We start from the raw sequence: 22,392 nt of genomic DNA, 5'->3' as shown, positions 1-22,392 counted from the left end.
ACTGCTAATTGTCCCCTAAATGCCAGTACTCCTCGGCACATATGTTCCTGGGATAAAGGCTAGATATACCAGCATTGCTTGCAACTAGGCAACTAGGAGAAGACTGAGGGGTGAAATGTAAGAAGTAGTGTTGTGAGCAATCTGTAAAAAATGCCATGAAAGGTAAAGATCATGTTCTTCTCTCTCTTTCTGCCTGGAATAAAGATTTGATTGCTGGAGCTACAGCAGCCAACTTTGGACTATGAGGTAAACTTGGGGATGAATAGTATTTATTATTTACTATTGCAAAACAACAAGGTGGATGAACCCTGAGTCCCTGGAACTGTAGAATGCCATACCAGCCTTGTTTACCAAGACTTATAAAAGGAATAAATTAACTTCTATCTAATTAAGACACTCTTATTTTGAATTTTCTGCAGCAAAACTTAATCCTAATGGCTGCAGACACTATCACATGATTTGTAGAGATGAAATTCTCCCACTCCCCACAGGATTGTTCACTAGTGAGCTGTTTGACTGCTTGATACAATTCAGCCTTCTCCCCATGTCTGGCCATAGAACACAGTCCTAAGGCACCTTAATGACTTAAACGGTTTTACCTTATTGGTATCCAAAATCAGTGGCAGGATATCACATCTCCTAAAACTGGGAACATAGCTCCCAAGGTAACTTCAAGGTCGATTTAGCTGCCTCCAGAATCATTAAATGCAGATCATTCAAGGCAAGAAGCTAACATTATTTTATATTTTGTATGAGTTTGCAGTTCAAAATTTGTAAGTCAACACCAGAATATTTGGTAAATCATACACCAAAAAATAGTAATAGCTATTTTTAGTAAGTTGGCTAACTTACTGAGCACTTACTTTGCATCTGGCTCATTTAATACATCACCTTACTGAATTTTGCAACAGTCTTAGAAGATTCATTCTAGCATCATTCCCATTTTAAAGACAAGAAAGCTAAGGCAGGCCATGCGCGGTGTCTCACACCTATAATCCCAGCACTCTGGGAGGCTGAGGCAGGCAGATAACCTGAGGTCAGGAGTTTGAGAACAGCCTGGCCAACATAGTGAAACCCCGTCTCTAATAAAAATACACAATTAGTTGGGTGTGGCAGTGGGCACCTGTAATTCCAGCTACTTGGGAGGCTGAGGCAGGAGAATCGCTTGAACCCGGAAGGCAGAGGTTGCAGTGAGCCGAGATGGTGCCATTGCACTCCAGCCTGGGCAAAAAGAGCAAAACTCCATCTCAAAAAAAAGAAAAAAAGAAAGCTAAGGCTAAACATCTCGCCCAAGTTCCTACAGGCAGCTTCATTCCACAAACCATTAAGTGATAGAAGTACTCCTTAGCTTGGACGTTCTCTGTATGGTTTTAATTATCAAAAAAAAAAAAAAAAAAAAGGAAAAGGAAAAGATTTGAAGGTTTAGTCTCAAAGAAAGTTAACCTATTAAACTGCAAGATATCCACATAAAATTTTTTCCAGACCTCTTTTCTTTTTCTTTTTTTTTTTTCTTAAGACGGGGTCTCACTCTGTCACCTAGGTTGGAGTGCAGTGGCGTGACCTTGGCTCGCTGCAACCTCCACCTCCCAGGTTCAAGCAATTCTACTGCCTCAGCCTCCTGAATAGCTGAGACTACAGGCCCGCACCACCATGCCCGGCTCATTTTTGTATTTTTAGTAGAGACAGGGTTTTACCATGTTGGCCAGGCTAGTCTTAAACTCCTGGCCTCAAGTGATCTGCCCACCTCAGCCTTCCACAGTGCTGGGATTACAGGTGTGAGCCACTGCGCCTGACCCCCTTTTATGTTTCAACAACATATATGGGTGTCAACTTCATTCTTTTTGAGCATGGAAATCTTATATCCCAAATTTGGATACTCATGCTTGGTTTCAACTGGGAAAAAATAACCTGCTCTCCCTTGCAAAAAATAAAGGGAGGGAACAAGCTCAAAATTTTAAGGCTATCACCATGGGCACATATTGGTTTTTTTGTTTTGTTCTGTTTTTTGTTTTTTGTGGTTTTTTTTTTTTTTTTTTTTTTTTTTTTGGAAATGGAGTCTCACTCTGTCACCAGGCTGGAGTGCAGTAGCGTGATCTCAGCTCACTGCAACCTCCACCTCCCGGGTTCAATGATTCTCCTGCCTCAGCCTCCCGAGTAGCTGGGACTACAGGTGTGCACCACCATGCCCAGCTAATTTTTGTATTTTTAGTAGAGACAGGATTTCACCGTGTTAGCCAGGATGGTCTCGATCTCCTGATCTCGTGATCCACCCACCTCGGCCTCCCAAAGTGCTGGGATTACAGGCATGGGCCATGGCATCCGGCTGGGCACATATTGTTAAAAAGAATTACAGGGCTTTCTTCCCCAGAGAGATGCAGTTGGCCTGACAGATTTCTGATACTGGGCAACTCTCAAACGATGTAATTTTCCATTCTCCTTTATAAAACATTTGCAGATATGCTGACAAGCATAGCACATGTAAGAAAGATGCTAAAATTAGTAATAACCATCACTTATTGAGTGCTTACTATCTGGCACTGAGCTAGTAACTTTTTCTATGTAATCTTTCTTAAAATGACTGAGGCCAGTACCAGATGCCCATTCTGCAGTTGTAAATCTGAAGACTCAGAAATATAAATCACCGCTGGACACGGTGACTCACGCCTGTAATACCAGCATTTTGGGAGGCTTAGGTGGGTAGATCACTTGAGGTCAGGAGCTCCAGACCAGCCTGGACAACATGGTGAAACCCCATCTCCACTAAAAATACACAAATTAACTGAGCGTGGTGGAGCATGCCTGTAATCCCAGCTACTCATGAGGCTGGGGCGGGAGAATCAACTGAGTCCAGGAGGCAGAAGTTGCAGTGAGCCAAGATTAGACCACTGCACTCCAGCCTGGGTGACAGAGTGAAACTCTATCTCAAAAAAAAAAAAAAAAAGAAAGAAATGTAAATCAGTTGGCGGGGCATGGTGGTTCATGCCTATAATCCCAGCACTTTGGGAGACCGAGGCAGCTGGATCATCTGAGGTCAGGAGTTTGAGACCAGCCTGACCAACATGGTGAAACCCTATCTCTACTAAAAATACAAAAATTAGCCAGGCATGATGGTGCATGCCTGTAATTCTAGCTACTCAGGAGGCTGAGGCAGGAGAATTGCTTGAACCCAGGAGGGAGAGGTTTCAGTGAGCCGAGATCATGCCACTGCCCTCCAGCCTGGGTAACAGTGGGAGACTCCATCTCAAAAAAAAAAAGAAATGTAAATCACTTGGCCAGCACATCTGGTGAGCTGCTCAACAACACATGTCTGAGCCCAGAGTCCTCATCCCCATCCTCTGTGCTCTGCAGCTTCCGGTGCCAAGCAGGGCTGCATTTCAGTTTTCCTTTTCTGATCTCTCACTCAATCTCTCAGGTTAAAGTGCTAAGTTTTGAATGCCATCAAAGTATGATATAGAACATTTTTGATCCCTAAAGAGCCCCATAATTTATTTTCAAGAATGAAGGTGGTAACCTTGGGGTCTTAGACAGATGTAAAATCCAGTAATTGCATTCTGACTAAATGACTGTACTTACAGGTAAAATCATAGGACTATAATGTCCTTCTATGATTTTACCAGTTGCAAGGTTTCCAGTTGCAAGGGCCCTTAGAGAGCACCTAAGCCAGTGTTTTCCATCCTGAGAACAGTTTGTCCAAATGGCAACCCAAGCAGAAGCACACACACACACACACACACACACACACAGACACACAATTTCAGCTATCTTTGCTGCTGTGCTTTGTGCTGTGTGTGTCCCAGTAAATTTCATGTGTCGGAACTTGAAACCCAAGGTGATGGTATTATAAGGTAGGGTCTCTGGGAGGTGAATAGGCTGTGAAGATGGCACCTCCTGGATGGGATCAATGCCCTTACAAAAGGACTTTAGGGAGTGAGTGTGTCCCTATGTCCCTTACACCGTATGAGGACACAGAGTCTGTCTCATCTCTTCCACCATGTGAGGACACCTATATGACACCATCCATGATCCAGAAAGCAGGCCCTTGCCAGACAATGAGTTTGTCATTGCCTTGATCTTGTACTTTGCAGCCTCCAGAACTGTGAAAAATAAATTTATGTTGTTTATAAATGACCCAGTCTAGGATACTTTCGTTATAGCAGCAGAAATGAATGAAGACATTCGTTGTCTCTTACCTTTCTTACCTTTTCTCACAGCACCTAGTGCTTCTCCTTTGAAGCATCTTTCATAATGATGATGATTATTATTATTTTGAGACAGAGTCACCCAGGCTGGAGTGCAGTGGCACAATCTTAGCTCACTGCCCCCTCTGCCTCCCAGGTTCAAGCAATTCTCCTGCCACAGCCTCCTGAGTAGCTGGGATTAGAGATGCCTGCCACTGTGCCTGGCTAATGTTTGTATTTTGTAACGATGGGGTTTCACCATGTTGACCAGGCTGGTCTCGAACTCCTGACCTCAGGCGATCCACCTGCCTCAGCCTCCCAAAGTGCTAGGATTACAGGCATGTGCCACTGCACCCAGCCCCATAATGATAATTATTCATTGATTTTGTAATTCCTGGCCTTTTCTCCTACAACGTCAGCCCTCTGAAGAACACACAGTGCCCATCTGGTATGCCACTTCATGCCCACCACCTAGTCCAGGGACTGACATCCAGCAAACATTCAATGAATATGAGCTAAATTGATTGATGCAGATAGGTGTCCAACGTGGAACCCCTCAGGTTCCATAGAGGCTAGTTGGAAAATACTGCTGTAACTCAACTTTCTCATTGTACTGATGAGAACATTGATGTCAGAGAGGGAAACCGTCAGAAGTCAGGTGGCTGCAAAGCAGCAGAGCAAGGACCTGAAGCCAGAACATCTTAGCAAAAAGACTGCCTTGTCTCTTTGGGATTTATGCATGGGTGGCTGAGGACGGGACTGTCTGTGAGTGTGGTCGGCCCAGCCTCTACAGTCATGATAGGAGGGACTTGTTTTAAACAGGCAGATTCCTGGACTGCACTGCAGGTCTACTGTTTCAGTCTGTTTGTGCTTCTCTAACAAAATACCTTAGACTGGGTAATTTCTAAACAACAGAAATGTACTGCCAACAGTTCTGGAGGCTGGGAAGTCCCAGGTCAAGAGGCCAACTTATTTGGTGTCTGGTGAATACCTGTTCTCTGCTTCATAGATGGCACCTTCTAGCTGTGTCCTCACACCGGGAAGGGGTAAATGAACTTCCTTGGGCCTCATTTATAAGGGAAGTAATTCCATTCCGCCTTCACGATTTCCTCAACTCCTAAAAGCTCCACATTAATATTATTGCACTGGGAATTAGGTCTAAACATATGAATTGGAGTGGGACGAAAACATTCAGATCTCAACGTCTACTGAATGAGAATTTCTTGGAAAAGGGGTTCAGGAGTTTATATTTAGAATAAGCCTCCTGAAGTGGTTCTTGTGCACATTAAGGTTTGAGAAGCAGAATTCTAAGGTTCCCTGTCTGACCCCAAAAGGTCACTAGAGGCTCAGCCAACTGAGAACCTCTTACTTGGGCCTGACTAAACAATCACTGACCTGGAGAATTAGCTATACAAAGTCATGTTATTGAATGAGTTATTCATTCCATTAGCCTTTCCTGTGAATCACCATGTCGGCAGGGCCCCATCCTTGGCCCTCTTTTCATTTTCTGCAATATTCCCAGGCAATCTCCTCCACATCTGGCTTCACCTCCCTCTGTTGGCTGTGAATTGAGTCTGGCCCCCAGCTCCTGAAAATGCAGCTGCCTGTGGCTGCATGACTTTCTAAAACATGGCCACAGACTCTTTGCCTTTCTCCCCCATCAAAAAGAATACAGTTCAAAGAAGTAAAGCTACCTTACTTCTGGAGCTAGACCACAAGAGGCACGTGGCTTCCCCCAGTTCCCCGGGAAATCTCACTCTCACGATCTAGCCCCCTTGCTGCAAAAAGCCCAAGGCATGTGGAGAGGCCACATGGATGTGCTCCAGTGGGCAGTCCCTGCTGCATCCAGCCCTCAAGTCAGCTCATTCCTTATCCTACGTACATGAGTGAAGAAGCCTCTAGGTGACTCCTGTGAGTTACCCTCAGTTTCAAGTCTTCCCAGACACGGTGGGGCAGAGACATGTTATCCCTGCTGAGTATCATCCAAACTTATGACCCACAGATTCCATGACCATAATGAAATATCAGTTTTATGTCTCTAAATTTTGGGATGGTTTGTCAGGCAGGATTATTAACTAGAACCAGCAGCAACTAAATGGTGCACAGAAAGTACCGTGACAAATAAAAACGACACTGCCTCCTCTCCTCCGTCTTGGCAGATGCCCCATTCTGCAGATTGTCACCATCCACTGAGTGTCGGTGAGGGTTGTACTTGGGTTGCAAGTAACAAGAAACCTCCATATGCTATCTTGAAGGACTAGGACTAGGGCTGAGTATTGTTGCATTTTTTTTTCTTCCTTTCTTTCTTTTTTTTTTTTTGTTTGAGAAAGAGTCTTGCTGTATCACCCAAGCTGGAGTGCAGTGGCGTGATCTCAGCTCATTGTAACCTCCACCTCCTAGGTTCAAGCAAATCTCCTGCCTCAGCCTCCCAAGTAGCAGGGGTTACAGGCATCTGCCACCATGCCTGGCTAATTTTTGTATTTTTAGCAGAGATGGGGTTTCGCCATCTCTGGCTGGTCTTGAACTCCTGACCTCAAGTGATCCACCCGCCTTTGGCCTCCCAAAGTGCTGGGATTACAGGCATGAGCCACCCAGCCCAGCCATTGTTGCATATTTTCTTTCATAAAACAAAGAAAAGATCCCCAGATAGGATACTGCTGGCATCGATTCCAATGCTCAAGAATGCCTTCAGGGATCAAAGAGCTTTCTATCTTTTACCCCATATTTCTCACGCTGGTCTTGCCCTACTAGATGGATGCTACCTCTCCAGATACCACATGCGTGTTTAAAACAAAACAAAAACAAAACAAAAATAATTCTGTTGCCAGAAAGAAGTAAGAGATGGATGCTAGGGGGCAGTGTAATTAGCAATGCCACTGCTTGCTCTCATGGAAAACAGAAATACAAGCTTTTTCCTTCTCCTCCTGCCCCTGACCAAAATTGTTGTGATCTATCTATTTCACCTTCTTTGAAACTCATCTACCTCTTTTTAGGCTTCTGCCACTTCCTTAGGTCAGAACCCTGGCAGCGCTTAGATGATTGAAATCATGGTCTCATTGCTTCTTGTCTGGACATATGGCCACAAGGCTGCCTGAGGTGTCTGCCTAGCATGCAAATCTGCCAACGCTCACCATGTAAAATTCTCTGAGAGCTTCTGACTGCTCTCAAAACAGAGCCAGACTCTGGCTCACAGAGTTCTGCTGGCTTAGGGCGGCACCACACACACTCGGCTTGCACACTCAGTTCTCGGCGAAAGCCCAGGGAACCTGACCCCAGAGGAGGTCTCACTACACCCACTTCTGCCCAAATGTGGAGAAATAACTGGAAATTAGTCAGGCCCCCACCAAACTGTGGATTCCCTGAGGCAAGGAACTACGTCATGTCCACCTGCACGTCTTCAGCACTTAGCACAGTGTCTGGCGCACAGTAGATGCTCAAAAAATTTCTGCTGAATGAATGAATGAATGAATGAATGAAAGAAGGGAGGATTGCACCTCTCCTTCAGGATCTGTCCATTGAACAGGAAATAGAGCCTAATAAGCCCGTAACTGCAAAGGTGCAAAGTGGTGATGGATTTTAAGGGAGACCCAGTAGGGATAAGCGGAAGGGATGAGGACTGTACAGGGCCAATAGCAAAGGCCTCATGTGGGGGCAGCCCTTCCACTACCCACCCCCACTGCCCCCGCTGCCTCAGGAAGAGCTGTGCACATTAGACAGGAGGGGATTCAGGTGGTGGAGAGCCTTCCAGGGAACTCATGGTTCATACGCAAAGCCAGGTGGTGGCTCTTCTAGAAGGAACGATGGGTATTCCATTAACTGATGTGTGTGGAATGCAGGTGCAATAGGTATGGCAGGACACTTCAAATATTCATTTGTGGTTTTCATCCCTTATAGATTCCCATTTCCCCCATTTCAAGCCTGAAGTCAGGCCCTTAATGTTTCCTTGCCTCAAGGACTAGCTACCTTAGGGAAAATTAGAAGTTGCTGAAGGTCTAGCTTTTTGGAAATCAAACTTAAATCCATTTACATGAAAAAAGGGGACAGGAGTCTGCTTCTGAGAACACCATAAAGAAAAGGATGAAAAGGGTTTCCAGGGCTGCCCGTCAGCTGGAGCTACAGAGAATGGAAGCCATCTGCTCCAGAGGTGGGCATGGAGATGTTGGTGTCCCTGGTTTAGTGGGTTGAATAATGTTCCTGAAATGTTCATGCTTACCAGGATCCTCAGAATTTGACCTTATTTGGAAATAGGGTATTTGCAAATGTAATTGGTTAAACAAGTTGAGATGAGGTCATATAGAAAGGCACGGGACAGTTTCTCTCTGAGTCTCCAGCAGGAACTAACTTTTGCAACACCTTCATTGCAGCCTCCTGAACTGTGAGAAAATAAATTTCTGCTGTTTCTGGCCACACAGTTTGTAGTAGTTGGTTATGGCTATCCTAGGAAATGCATATATCTGGGCCAGCTGGACCTTATGGCAAGGAAGCTTAGGAACCATGATCCTTATGGATCTCGCAGCCCAGGACAGTGGGAGGCTCTGCAGAAGCAGTGAGGATTGCCAGGAGTCAGAGTTTCCTCACACCAGGCCCTGCATTAGCCCTCTGGACTTCTGTATATCTTGGGGGCTTCACCAGCCCAGCAAGATAGAGATCTATGTTGATTTTAAGAACATAACATATAAGTTAACCAGAGCTTCTGGGCCAAGCTATGCCTGCTAGTAGAGGGTTTGTAAAGAGGAGTATTAGAAGGAAACAAGTGAGAAACACACGTTGGGACCACACCGAGGGTCTTAACTGCTAGACTCAGAAATCTGGACTTACACCCCTAGGCAATGGGAAGCCACAAATGTTTTAAAGGGTTAGAGCTTGGAAATGACTTGAGGGAAGGAGAGGGGCTTCGGGACAATCAATCTAACTGTCGTTATCAAGGGTTTTGTTGCAAGTAACAGAACTATGACCTAAAGTGGAGTAAGCAAAAGAATTTTATTGACTCATGAAACAGAAAGTCCAGAACAGACTTCATGCATTAGTGTGATTACGACTCTGAACCTAATGTCTTTATTTGGCTTTCTTCATGGGCACAAAGATGCCTCCCAGAGCAACTGTGTTAAAAATGCTCTTTTGTTCATGTCCAGTTAGAAATAAGCTATATTCAGGGCTTACTCTTAGAAACTTTTTTCCTAGAAGACTCAATATATTTATCTCTTTATCTTGGTGGTCCAAGTAGGGATTAAAGCTATTCATTCATGAGCTGATTTTTGACAAAGAGATTAGGGTGGGCAGGATGGACTGAGACTAACCAGATGGCTTAGCATAGATTTCGGGTCTAAGACCATCAGGAGTGGCTTAATGACAGAGACACATTCCAAGAAAAGCGTCATTAGGCAATTTAATGGCTATGCAAACCTCACAGAGTTCACTGTAATACAGCCTCAGGCAGGACCTTCAGGATGTGTTCCAGGGAAAGGCACTGTTACCTTAGGGGATGGCAACTCCATGCAGGTTATTGCCCTTAAAGACCTTCCTGTGTTTCAAGATATGCAGTGAAAGACAGTGATATTGATGACTGACGCTGTGTGGGCCCAAGCTGATGTGAGTGTTTGTGTCTTAATTTTACCAAAAAAGTTGGAAAAGTAAATGAATAAATAATTTGTAAATAGAAAAAACTTGTGAAATAGGGATATAAAGAAAATATTTTTAGGCTGGGTGCAGTGGTTCATGCCTGTAATCCTAGCACTTTGGGAGGCTGAGGTGGGTGGATCACCTGAGGTCAAGAGTTCAAGGCCAGCCTGGCCAACATGGCGAAACCTCGACTTTACTAAAAATACAAAAATTAGCCTGGCCTGGTGGTGTGCACCTATAATGCCAGCTACTCGGGAGGCTGAGGCAGGAGAATCGCTTGAACCCGGGGAGCGGAGGTTGCAGTGAGCCAAGATGATGCCACTGCCATCCAGCCTGGGCAAAAGAGTGAAACTCCAATACCAAAAAAAAAAAAAAAAGAAAAGAAAATGAAAATATTTTTAGTGCAGCTGTTCAATGTGTTTGTATTTTAAGCTAAGTTTTATTACAAAAAAGTCAAAAAAGTTTAAAAAGTGTATAAAGTAAGAAAAGTAACAACAAGCTAGGGTTAATTTATTATTGAAGAAAAACACATTTTTATAAATTCAGTGTAGCCCAAGTGTAGTGTTCATAAAGTCTACAATAGTATACGGTAATGTCCTAGGCTTTCACATTCACTCACCACTCACTCACTGACTCAACCTAGAGCAACTTCCAGTAACGCATGCTCCACTTATGGTAAGTGGCCTATACAGGCATACCGTTTTTATCTTTTATACTGTTTTTCTATAGTACCTTTTCTATGTCTAGATATGTTTAGATACATACATACATACCTACCATGGAGTGACGATTGCCTACAGTATTCAGTACAATAACATGCTGTACAGGTTTGCAGCCTAAGAGGAATAGGCTAAACCATATAGCCCAGGTGTGCAGTAGGTTTTACCATCTATATTCGCATAAGTACACTATGATGCTGGCACAGGGATGAAATTGCCTAACAACACATTCCTCAGAACGTATCCCCATCACTAATAGACTCATAACTATGTCCATGGTGGTTTGCTTCATTTGTTTCTTTTTTCTTTTTCTTTTTTTTTTTTTTTTTTTTTTTTTTGTGCTTTGAAGCTCCAGCTCAAAGGGTTTTTTGAATCCTGGTTTTGCTTGTAGGCAGATAATGCACCATGAACTTTCCTCTCTATTAGTGAAAACCTTTCAGTTTTGGGGTCCATGTTTTCAGACTTCTTAAGGAGCTTGTTGGAGACTGAAGAAGCTTCTGCTAAACCCATCACTGTGAGTATTCTTGGGAGTTCTTTTTTCCCTTCTCCTGCACTTTCTTTTTCTTTACCTCTTCTTCAGCTATGCACTCCTATTCCAGTTCCAACAGCAACCCATTAGTCAATTCCTCAGGAACCCCCTCTAGGAATTACTCAATGTCATCCACATCCACACCCAGGTTAAAGTAGTTTGCCATCTCAACCACAGCCTTCTTGATTTTTGCAACTTCCTCATCCTTGGCAAATCCTTTGAAGTTATTGACAAACCTCTTGCGTGTCTTCTTCCAGGTGCCATTCCTACAGTCCTTAGCGACATAATCCAAGCCTAAACAAGGTTCTTGATGCTGTTCAGAATTTCATCAGAGTCTTCTCAGTGTCTTCCTCCACTGCAGTATGGGACTGGGCAAAAGTCCTCCCTTCTCAGGTAGTAGAACTTAAAAGCTGCTATAACTCCTTGATCCATTGTGTGGATCAAAGAGGTGGTGCCTGGAGGAAGAAATATCACTTTGATATTAGGAATGAAGATCACCCGTAAAAAAGAGGACATGTGGGAGCATTATCAACAATAAGTAAAATCTTGAAAGGTGGATCATTCTCCAAACAGTGCTTTTCCTTTCAGTGGTACAGCATTGCAGGAGAGCATCCTGGAAAAGAAGCTGCATCTGTTATGACTTCTCACTACTCCTGTAGCCCACTGGCAGTATGTGCTCAGTGCTGTGCTTGAAGACCCTCGGGTTCTCACTGGGCCAGATCACGAAGGATTTCAACTAGTAGCCTGTACCATTTCCCTCAAGCAAGACTGTTACCCTGTCCATCAAAGCCTTGAAACCTGACATTGACTTGGCTTCCTTATAGATAAAAGTCATTCCAGGCATCCATTTCCAGAATAAGGAGATTTCATCCATATTGAAGATTTGCTCCGGCAAGTAAATTTCCTCCACAGTCAGCTTATCTACAGTTTCCAAAAATTCTTCAGCTGCCTTCACATCAGCACTCACAGACTTACCACTCACTTTCATATTACATAATAAAGAACGATTCCTGAGTCCTTTAAACCACGCAGAGCTAGCAGTAAATTCAACATCCTAGTCAAATCCAGCCTTTTCTTTCAGCATCACAAACTTTCTGTTTTGGCTGGGATCATCGTGGGGCTGGGTGGAATACATGTGTGTGTCAGTCTAGTCTTCAATCCGGGTCATAAGAAATTTCTCTGTATCTGGTATAGACCCTTCTTAAATTGTTGATAGTCTCATTGCCTCCAATGATGCAGATAGTTTCAACTTCTGTCACTTTGTTCTTCTTCCCCAAGATTGTAGCTATGATCGAATGCGACCTACCTGCCTGGGGAGCAATAACCATCACCAATTTTCCACCTCCGTGGTCTTTAATCACTTTTAATTTCATTTCCAGCTCAATCACTGATATGGTTTGGTTGTGTCCCCACCCAAATCTCATCTTGACTTGTAGTTCCCATAATCCCCATGTGTCGTGGGAAGGACCAGGTGGAGATAATTGAATCATGGGGGCAGTTTCCTCCATCCTATTCTCATGATAGTGAGTTCTCACAAGATCTGATGGTTTTATAAGGGGCTTCTCCCTTCACTGGGCACTCATTCTTCTCTCTCCTGCTGCCTTGTTTTTTTTTTTTTGTTTTTTTTTTTTGTTTTTTTTTTTTGTTTTTTGTTTTTTTGAGATGGAGTCTCACTCTGTCACCCAGGTTGGAGTGCAGTGGCGCGATCTCGGCTCACTGCAAGCTCCGCCTCCCGGGTTCACACCATTCTCCTGCCTCAGCCTCCCGAATAGCTGGGACTACAGGCGCCTGCCACTGCGCCCAGCTAATTTTTTGTATTTTTTAGTAGAGACGGGGTTTCACCGTGTTAGCCCGGATGGTCTCGATCTCCTGACCTCCTGATCCACCCGCCTCGGCCTCCCAAAGTGCTGGGATTATAGGTGTGAGCCACCGCGCCCGGCCCTGCTGCCTTGTTAAGAAGGATGTGTTTACTTCCCCTTTGGTGGTGACTGTATGTTTCCTGAGGCCTCCCAAGCCATGCTGAACTGTGAGTCCATTAAACCTCTTTCCTTTGTAAACTACCCAGTCTCAGGCATGTCTTTCTTAGCAGTGTGATCATGGACTAATACAATCACTCAATGTGGCTTCTCTTTGGCAACATTAGCCATGGATTCTGTACGCTTAGGGACCGTGAGGAACAAAACAGCATGAGATTAAATCAAGCACAAGAGAAAATGATGCAATCGAAAAAAATGAGATGAATGAGGCTACTGCCGGTATGACACAGAATACTGTTTTACAGTAAACTCTTGGTTTTATAAGCAGAAGAAGCACACTCTAAAATGATTTAAAGTATAGTACAGTAAATATATAAGCCTGTTACATAGCTGTTTATTATCATTATCAAGTATTATATACTGTACATATTGTATGTGCCATACTGGTAGTGCAGTAAGTTTGTTTATACCAGCATCGCCACAAACACATGAGTAATGCACGGAGTTGATGTTATGCCAGCTACACCACTAGGTGACAGGAATTTATCAGTGTCATCAGAGGGGACCACTCTCATATACGCATTCCTTTTTTGACCAAAACGTCATTACTCAGTGAACGACTGTACATGTGAGAAGTGTGGCTGGGTTCTGCCAAATAGTTTACTAACTCAAATGCCTGCCAAGATTCTCAGAGTCAGGACCATGTCTCCTACACTCCCTCTAATGCATCATCTCCTGGAGGACTGTCCTTCTGCACAGTCATTCATGGGATGAGCTCAGGCTGCCTGGGCAGTCCATCCAGTATTGGATTGGTGATTCATGACTCTGTAGATGAGGCCTGTCAGTCAGATTCCTCTCCTGGAAAAACTAAAACACCTGGTGGAACCACAGTGGGAAGTGAAGCTGAAAAGATTATTTCCACAATTGCCAGGATGCAGAAAGGCTGAGGCCATAAACATGCAGAAAACTTTAGAACAGACCCCAGGATTTAACAGAGAAAGCCTGTGGGCAGAGAGAGAACAGAGCGGAGAGGGGGAGGGGGGGCAGCGGTGGGGGTCGGGAGGGAGACAGAAACACAGAGATGGGCTCTCTCTCCTTGCAGCTTGTTTTCAGCTTCAGTCTGCACATCTCTACATTAAAACTCTTTTTTCTAAAGAAACTTGAGTGAGTTCCTCACAGTCCCAAGAGCCCTAAGGAAAACACTGTCTAAAACACAAAACACCATGTGCTGTGCCCAGCACCTCTGAACTCATCTCTGACAAGTGGTGCAGCCCTTTTCTTTTCTGCACAATCACCCAAATGGGACCAGAACCCATTAGGATCTTTCCACTCTGCTGTGCCAAGAAACGGGGGTAGGGAAAGGATGAAATCAATTTCCTTAACCATCATTACTGAGAGCTTTGCTGGTGCTCCAAAAGGTAGGAGGTGGCAGCATGCAGTAAATCAATGTCAGCGCTCCCTGGAGACCCACTGTGAAGACACTCCCAGTAATGACTATGATCCTTGTTCTCTGGCAGGATGTGATGGGACATACACTCAGGGTGACAAAGAGGAATGCATGCACACACTTCTGACACACAGCCCCTGGCAAGGGTCCTAAAAGGGGGTGTTAAGAGAGCTACTTGCATGGAATGTCAAAACTCTGGAAAAAAAGGGAGAGGGAGAGGCTGTCCCTGTTACCTGGGAAGAAACTTAACAGAAAGAAAGTGGGGCTTTCAGAAAAGGCCTTGCCCAGGTTAACCCTTCAGAGATGAACTAAAGATGCATCTGATGTACAATGTTTTATTCAAATAAGGTGGTGATTTATGTGTGTTTCACCACAATGTCAATTAATAAGGAATTTCCATCTCACTATGGAGTCATCCAGGGGAACTTCCAAGACATGGTCCTGAAGCCTCCCTCCAACCCTGAGAATCTTGGTGGGATTTGCGTTAGCAGAACTGTTTGGCAGAACCCATACAATCTACACTATTCACATATATAGTCATGCATTGGATAACATTTTGGTCAATGATGGACCACATGCATGTAAGACAGTGGTCTCACAATATATTAATGTAGCTGAAAAACTCCTGTGCCTAGTGATCAGAACATCAACTCAATGCATTACTCACATGTTTGTGGTGATGCTGGTATAAACAAAACTACTGCACTGCCAGTATTGCACGTGGAATACATACAGTAAGAACTCAGCTAAAACTGAGCTGCTTTTGGTTCTTGGCTGCAAAGTGCAACAGCTGGATGACCTGGGGCTCCTTACTTGCCAAATCTGATCCTCTTTCCACAGAATCTACTAGGATATAGTAGCATAGTCTTATATGAGTATAGCATTTTCTATTTTTCGAATATGTTCCCATACATTATTTGATCCATACAATAAACAACACTTTTGTTATTTCATCCAAAAACTCTTTATTGGCCCAGACGATATTCCCAGCCAAAGCTAAAAGTCTGGTGCATGTTAGAAGCTCTTCTTTGCTGGAAGACGCTGCTGGTGGAGGGGACAGTAGCCGATGTAAGCAGAACTCTCTGCCCCCCTCCTCCCATGCACACAAGCAATCTGGAGATGCAGTGAACACCTTGACCTGAGTTTCAGAAAGAGGAAAGCCCACAGGATGTGTCCAGGCAGACAAAAGGGCTCACCCCTTCTCTAGAATTCTATCAAAAACCAAGGGCGTCAGGCAAGAGGTCTCAGAGCAGGTCCCGAAGTACCTAAAAGGCTATTCATCTTTTCCTTCCCTTTCTAGTAGTTATTTTTCTCATTCTCTCTCCTCCCCCTTTTAAAAGCTGGTTTTTCTTCTACTTTTCTCATCTCTGAATATTTCTCCTTTTCTCTCCCAAGTCCCTGAAGTCTTCCCCAACACCCTAGCCCCCATCTTCTAGCACAGGTCATCTTCCTGCTGTGGGCAGGGACCTGACACTGGAGAAACCCACCATCTACACAGCTGACTTACTACATGTCAAAGACAGTTCTAAAGGTTCTATGTGTACGAATTCACTAACTCATCACAACAGCTTTATCAGACAGACACTTCTTAGGTCGGTTCTCACAGATGAGGACACCGAGGCACAGAGTCACCTAGGCTGGGAGGTTCAGTCACTAGCCCAAGCTCACACATCCGTTGAGTGGCAGTGCAGGATTTGAACCAAGAAGTCCGGCCATGCGGGCCCTGGCCTGAATCCCTGTACTACAGCAGCCGTCTGATGAAACAAAGGCTGGGGGACTCTCCCCTTCCACTGCAAAAGGTTGATCTCTCTCCAGCTGGAGCAAGGGGCGCTGGAAGGATGCAATGACCCCAAAGGCAAACTGTGCCTCTTTCCTCTAACATTCCTCCGAAAAGTTGCGAAAGAGGTAGTCTCAGTAAGGGGTTAAGAACCGTAAAACCAGATTTACATGACTTGTGTACTGCATTTAGCATCAAAGCGCTGCACTCTGCCTTTCAGCAAAAGAAGTCTCCACCGCCCCCGCTTCCCTGTAAAAGAGGGAGGGCTGAATAACTGCAAGCCTAATCCGCAAACCCCAAGCTCCAGCCGCAGCCTCCGCATCTGGAAGGAAAAAGCGGCGGCAGGCGAGCCAGGGCAAGGGCTGGGCCAGGGCCGGGGCCGGGACCAGGGCCGGCCGCAGTGCCCGGCTCTGTGGCTCTGAACGCGGTTCTGGCCGCAAGAGTCGTCCAGCCCACGCTCCTCCCTTCCCCCTCCCTAAATCCCACCTCGAGTCCCGCGCCCTTAGAGGAAGTGGGTGGCTCTGCCCGGTCGCCAGCAGGGGATCGGCCCCTTCTCCCCACCGTGCCCCCGACTCGAGTTCTTCTGGGCACTGCCATCCTCTCGGTGCGTGCCCGTCTTCCTGCTGAAACGGACCCCAGTGGCTCCCGGGCCTCCCGGGCGCTCTTCCTTAGCCCCGCCAGCTTGAGGGCCGCGTCCAGAGAGCGGGGAGCTCCTCTCGGGGCGCCGATCAGGTCCCCGCGCCGCAGCCGCCGCCTCCGGCGTCTCCCAGGCTCGGCCTCTGCCGAGCCCGCTGCGGTCCACGTGGCTTGGCAGAGCTAAATTCGGCTTGCAGGAAGCCCGGAGCCAAGGGAAAGCCGAGCCAAGTTGGGGTGGGCGGGGCCGAACGGAGGCGCAGAGTCGGGAGGGGCGGGCACTGGGCGGAGGAAGGGGAGGGCCGCGCGCAGGGGAGGCGGTGGCTGGGCTCTGGCGCGCCCTGGCACCCGGCCCCGGCCGGCCAGGGAAGGCGGCCCCTCCTCGGTCGCCCCGCCTTTCACTCCCGTTACACCCGGGGGAAGGTGTTCCCGAGCCCTCTCCCACCCTCATCCCGCCTCCTCGCTTCCTCGGCTCCAGCCTCCGCCGGCGGAGCCCACTATGCCAGACAGTTTCGACACTTTGCAAAGACAAAGAGCCCTAGACCGGAGGGAGGAGGAGGAGGAAGAAGAGCGGAGAGAGAAGGAAGAGGCGATGTGAGCTGGGAAGGGGGCAAGTGTCCGGGACACCCACACCCCTGTATTCTCCTCCGAACCCCTTCATGCCCAAATCCCGGAAACTCCAGCGTGTCTCCAGCCGTGGTGAGTGCGCGCGCGGAGGCGAACCCTGCTCGGGGTGCGCGGGGGCTGCGTCCGCCTGAGTTGGGGCTCGGGCAGTTTCCTGTGGATTCTCGGAGTGGAAGGTTGATTGTCTGGACCCGGGAACTGAAGGGGTGGGGAGGGGACTAGGAGGGTGTGACAGTGGAGCTGGGACTGAAGACCCCGGGATTCTAGTGGAAGACATTCGAAGGGAGACCCCTTCCTTGGCAGCGGCGACCACCCAGGGCTTTGGGAGAGGAAGAAGGTCGGGGTGGAGGTTCGGGCTTAGGGGTCTTCGGCCGACACTGGAGGAGCTGCCTGGAGCTCTGTGGGGAACCTACGCCAAGTCCCGGGCAGCGGTTCCCGAAAGCAGCCCCAGTGACATTGCACCCGGCGCCGGGCTGGGATCTCCTCCGCTGGGGCCGCCCGTGGGAGGAGACCTCGCTGGGTGGCCGGGCTCAGGCGCTCTCGAGCGGATTTGGGGTCACAGGCTGGGACACCGCGGAGGCCGCCAGTGTTCTGGACGAGCGGCCGTGGGACAGTATCCGGATCGAGTCCCCCAATCCGCTGCAAGCAGGCGCAGATCCGGGAGGTGGCTATCGGCCCCGGGGACGCCGTCAGAGCGCGCTGCTCCGGATCTGGGGGTGAAGTTGACACCCGGGACAAGAGAGCTGAACGCGGCGTGGCGGACAGTGGGGGACGCGGGTGGGCCAAGGAGAGCACGGCCGGAGTCGTGTTAGTGGCAACTCGAAACTCTGAATCCGCCCCAACCCCGTGAGGCGTCGCAGCTCCCAAGAAATAATCTGACAAAAGTTAGCAACTTGCCTGTGTCTCTCGTGTGTGTGACCTGCGTGGGGGCAGGGCCACCCCTTCTGGGAGCGCACGGGGACGGACAGCGGTGACCCTGGGGCGAGGCGCTCTGGTGAGGGTACAGTTAGTTTGGAATCGGGACGGTGGCGCAACTTTCCGCTCCTCCTTTCTCTGCGCGAGTGTTTAAGCGTGACCTTGCGGGAGGAAGCGCGGCTGAACTTGAGATGGGGGTTGAGCTTGCGCCCCGGCTTGGCACAGAGACGTCGGAGCGCGCATTAGCCTGGCCTTGCAGCCGGGTCTCCCAGGAAGCGTGTGGGGATCGTCTGGCTCTGCTCGTCAGCTGGAGCCCTGACTCGCTCCTCCCTCCTACGCTAGGGTCCTCGGCGGCCGTACCATGCGCGGGGCTCGGTGGTGTGTTGGGCGAGGGGACACGTGCGCACCCAGAAGCGCGCAAGGGGGTGGGGGTTGGGCAGGTCACTGCGTCTCGCGGGCTGGGCGAGTCCCGCAGAGGGAGTCAGCCGTGACCCTGAGGGCAGTGACTGGCTCGCCGCGTCCCTGCATCAGGCATTCGCCCGGCTTTCTCGTGATTGTTTCCGGGCACCCCTGGCCTCTCCCGACTTCTCCCCCTCGCGGGTCCCCAAGCCCCGCAAGTTTGCGACGAGCTGGTTCTCCAGGGAGACAGCGAGCGCCCACCCCCGCTCTGCGGCTGGGTGTGTGTGGTGAGAGGAAGAGACGGGAGGAGGAGGCGAGGCCGACTCGCCAACGAGGAAAACGGGGTGAGAGGGGAGCCGGGTTTTCCAATAGTCGCCAGGGCGCCTGGCACGTCGTAGGTGCTAACGCAGTGTTCATTGACAAGGCCCCAAGGTGGAAGGTGCTGGCAGGGGCCCGGACGCCCCCTTCTTCCCTTCCAGTCTCTAAAATGGAGTTCAAATGTATCGACCAAGCCCTTTAGGCTTCTAGACGTGCCTGGAGCACCTACTACGTGCGGGGGCTCTACTCCTGGCCTGTTCGTAGAAGCTGCGGGCGGAGCCTCCTGATTTTCTTTACCCCGCGCTGCCCAAGCGCCCAGAGGCTTCGAAAAGGCAAGGTGCACTGCCCCCTGCCGGCTGCTGTGGAAACTGCCGCTTGTCTCTGCGGTGGGGAAGGGGCGCCCAGTGCGGGGGTCCCTCAGTGCCTTCCCGCACCTCCCCTTCCTGCCCCAAACATTAGGACCCCTGCCGGCTGTTTTCTGAAATCCCATGGTTGGCTGAAATGACTGACTAGAGTTCACCACTCCGTGCCCCTCAGCCTCTGCCAATATCTGGGTACAGCGTGGGGCCTCTTCTAGTCTCCCGTCTCTCTGTCTCTGTCTCTCTTTGGTCGCCAGACTTAACCTCTCGGCGTCTCAGTTTCTATATCTGCAAAATGAGGCCAATAATACATTCTCCAAAATACGTTCTGCATAATTGCGAGTGGCGATAATACATATAATTAAGTGAATGTGTGTATGTATAGGTAGTTCATACTCTACATGTGTGTATGTGTATACCTTGACTTCAGGTCTAGGGAAAAAAGTTCCATCGTACACTTTTTGCTAAATAAAGAATGAATAGAGGGCTCCTTCTCCTCTTGCCTTTTCAAAATCCCACAAACCCTGAAGTTTGCTTTCCCTGCATTTTTCTGGGCCGGCATTTGCTGTTTAGAGTCTGATTGGACAAGGCCAGGACCTGGGCTTGAGCAGGGCCTTTGTTGCCTACCTCCCTGGCTGGGAGGCCACAGCACCCCACCCAGGGTGAGAGAGAAAAACAGGAAGCGTTGCTAGAAGTGATGGCAGAGGAGGGTTTCTTAGGGAGTGTGGAGTCTGTTCCTCGAAGCTCTGCAGCAGCAGGCGGAAACTGCCTTCTGAGCAGCCTTCTTGCTGATTGTAATCAGGGCTGTACTGCCCCCCTTCCCTGGTGGCGCTCACAGCATTGGCTGTCGCTGATCTGGAAGCCCTTCTTATGGGGATGAAGTCGTCTGTGAGCTTGACAGGAAGGAGTCCTTCTAGGTCCTGGGTCTTTGGGGGTGAGGTAGATCTCTGTCTCCCCTCCCCACCAAGCAGCCCCCGAGCCAGGACACCACCCAAAGGCAGGCAGTTGACATTACCCAAGGAAGGGCCCTCTCCCATGTGTGACTCTGAGGCTTCTGGTCAGGTAACCTTGCTTGAGTCAGTTCCTGTGTAGAAGGTTGCTGACTCAAAGGGTTTATATTTGGGTAGAGCTTTGGCCAGGGATCTAAACATTAACCCTCACTCTAGGCCCCTCCCACACCACCAAAAGCGACCAGGAAAGCAAAAAATAAAATCCACCAGCCATCTTGTAAAAGCTTTCCAGTGAGTTCTGCATGCCTGTGTGCATACACTCCACAGGCTGATGGAAGAGCTGGCCCGGTCACAAAGAATTCTAGAATAAGACTTAGATGCAGCTTCGTTCCGTTGTGTAGACTTTGTGGAAACTTCAGCATCCCTGCTGGCACACCTGAGGAGCTGAGAGCTCTCTTCTGCTCTAATTTGGTCACAGGAGCCCAGACCGGGGCCCTGTGAGAGCCTGCATTTGAGTCCCAGTGGCAGCGCTCAGTTACTTTGCAACTTGGCTCCCAAACTATTCCAGGCTCTGGGTCTCAGTTTCACTCTCAAAATAAGAGGCTTGGCTGGGCACAGTGGCTCAGGCCTGTAATCCCAGCACTTTGGGAGGCCGAGGTGGGTGGATCATTTGAGGTCAGGAGTTTGAGACCAGCTGGCCAATGTGGTGAAACCCTGCCTCTACTGAAAATACAAAAATTAGCCGGGCATAGTGGTGGGCTCCTGTAGTACCCAGCTACTCAGGAGGCTGAGGCAGGAGAATCACTTGGACCCGGGAGGTGGAGATTGCAGTGAGCTGAGATCGTGCCATGGCACTCCAGTCTCGGCGACAGAGTGAGACTGTCTCAAAAAAAAAAAAAAAAGAGAGCAAGGCTTTAGAGTTCTGCTGCCCGTCACTGAGGGTCCATTAAAAGCTTCTCTTTGTGAAGACAGCCACCACCTGATTTATGTTTGCTTCAGCCAGCATCATCCTCAAAACCCTCCCGGTATCACAGACAACCCTGGCTTGGGGCAGCTGGACTGTCTACTACCCCATGCCAAGGGCATCTCCCCTCTCAAAGAGTGGCCAGGACCATTCGGAGCCCACACCCGCTTGGCAAAGTCATTTTCTAGCAGTTCTCAACGCTAGATTTTGAAAGCAGTCCCAGAAGTTTCAGACTCTGAGGTCTGAAACCTGACAGAGCCAGGGTGCCATCTGTGGGGACTCCCAAATGGTACATATTGCAGAAGGAACCCCAGTGATCTCACCAGGGCCTGTTTTGCTTCCCATCCACAAGCTGAACATGACCTTAGAAATCACTTTGGTCAGCCCTTTCACTTTAATGTAAAAATATTGAGGCTCAGAGGGGAAGTCACTGGACTGTAAAATCTGGGGTTTTATTGTTTATTTGGTCTTGTTATTGGTGGTGGTTGGGTTGTTTTGATTTCAGTTGAGCCAACATTTACTGGGAACTTATTACCTTCCAGGAGCACCATGCAAAGTGCGGAGATGCAGAGAGGAAAGACTACTCGGTCCTTGTTCCTTGCTGTCCCAGAGGTCACAGTGCTGTGGGGAGGGGGACAAGGACATACCCTGTCAGGCTGCGTATATAAATACACAGGTGCTAAGCAAAATGGGAACGGAGAAGGGAAAGGTTCCCTCCACCTTGAGAGACCCACAGAAGGGTGTTCTAGAGATGGATGAGTCAGACTGCAAGAGAGCAAAGATATCTTCCTGAATACATTCAATATCAAAGCATCATGTGCCCTGTGTGTGCAAAATAATAATAATCATAATAATAAAGTAAAATAAAAGATTGGCTGTAAGCCTGTTCCACATGGTTCTGAAGAGGTAAGGGAATTGGGAATTTTAGAGGTTCAGTGCTTTGGCCCCATTTCCCTCCTTAGGTCCTGATCTCTGGTTTGTTTGT

At 48.1% G+C, this 22,392-nt stretch overlaps 1 protein-coding gene and 1 long non-coding RNA gene across 8 annotated transcripts in view, besides 6 other annotated features; one reads left to right on the top strand and one right to left on the bottom strand.

Annotated features, from left to right (window-relative positions):
• Positions 1-15,413: 15,413 nt before the first annotated feature.
• ST3GAL1-DT (ST3GAL1 divergent transcript) lies at positions 15,414-18,698 on the bottom strand. Of its 2 annotated transcripts, NR_186509.1 has the most exons (2): positions 18,400-18,698; positions 15,414-18,212 (listed from the first exon to the last, which is right to left on the bottom strand). It is a non-coding gene; the product is annotated as an ST3GAL1 divergent transcript (long non-coding RNA). The 2 variants fall into 2 exon arrangements; NR_186508.1 differs by having other exon boundaries at positions 15,414-18,698.
• Positions 16,634-16,693: a silencer, noted in NCBI's record as "silent region_19566". NCBI's record gives its function as "represses an Ori minimal core promoter by ATAC-STARR-seq in GM12878 lymphoblastoid cells {active_cell/tissue: GM12878}" and the evidence as "EXISTENCE:reporter gene assay evidence [ECO:0000049][PMID:35858748]".
• Positions 16,884-17,373: a silencer, noted in NCBI's record as "silent region_19565". NCBI's record gives its function as "represses an Ori minimal core promoter by ATAC-STARR-seq in GM12878 lymphoblastoid cells {active_cell/tissue: GM12878}" and the evidence as "EXISTENCE:reporter gene assay evidence [ECO:0000049][PMID:35858748]".
• ST3GAL1 (ST3 beta-galactoside alpha-2,3-sialyltransferase 1) overlaps positions 17,383-22,392 on the top strand; it is a 117,040-nt gene continuing 112,030 nt past the window's right edge. For 5 of the 6 annotated variants that reach the window (XM_017013736.3, NM_173344.3, NM_003033.4 and 2 more), the window contains exon 1: positions 17,383-17,577. The gene's annotated coding sequence lies outside the window, so the exon portion shown is untranslated. Of the gene's footprint in view, positions 17,578-18,918; positions 19,161-22,392 lie in introns of those variants that run through there. The other variant, XM_047422105.1, reaches the window with a different exon arrangement.
• Positions 18,743-19,596: an enhancer, noted in NCBI's record as "H3K27ac-H3K4me1 hESC enhancer chr8:134581917-134582770 (GRCh37/hg19 assembly coordinates)". NCBI's record gives its function as "activates a minimal SCP1, AML or CMV promoter by ChIP-STARR-seq in naive H9 embryonic stem cells {active_cell/tissue: H9 hESC(naive)}" and the evidence as "EXISTENCE:reporter gene assay evidence [ECO:0000049][PMID:30033119]".
• Positions 18,743-19,623: a biological region, named in NCBI's record as "H3K27ac-H3K4me1 hESC enhancer GRCh37_chr8:134581917-134582770".
• Positions 19,164-19,383: an enhancer, noted in NCBI's record as "active region_28006". NCBI's record gives its function as "activates an Ori minimal core promoter by ATAC-STARR-seq in GM12878 lymphoblastoid cells {active_cell/tissue: GM12878}" and the evidence as "EXISTENCE:reporter gene assay evidence [ECO:0000049][PMID:35858748]".
• Positions 19,554-19,623: an enhancer, noted in NCBI's record as "active region_28005". NCBI's record gives its function as "activates an Ori minimal core promoter by ATAC-STARR-seq in GM12878 lymphoblastoid cells {active_cell/tissue: GM12878}" and the evidence as "EXISTENCE:reporter gene assay evidence [ECO:0000049][PMID:35858748]".

This window comes from Homo sapiens, chromosome 8 (genome assembly GCF_000001405.40).
Source record: "Homo sapiens chromosome 8, GRCh38.p14 Primary Assembly".
Taxonomy (NCBI): Eukaryota; Metazoa; Chordata; class Mammalia; order Primates; family Hominidae; genus Homo; species Homo sapiens.
This window is presented reverse-complemented; position numbering and strand designations above follow the sequence as displayed.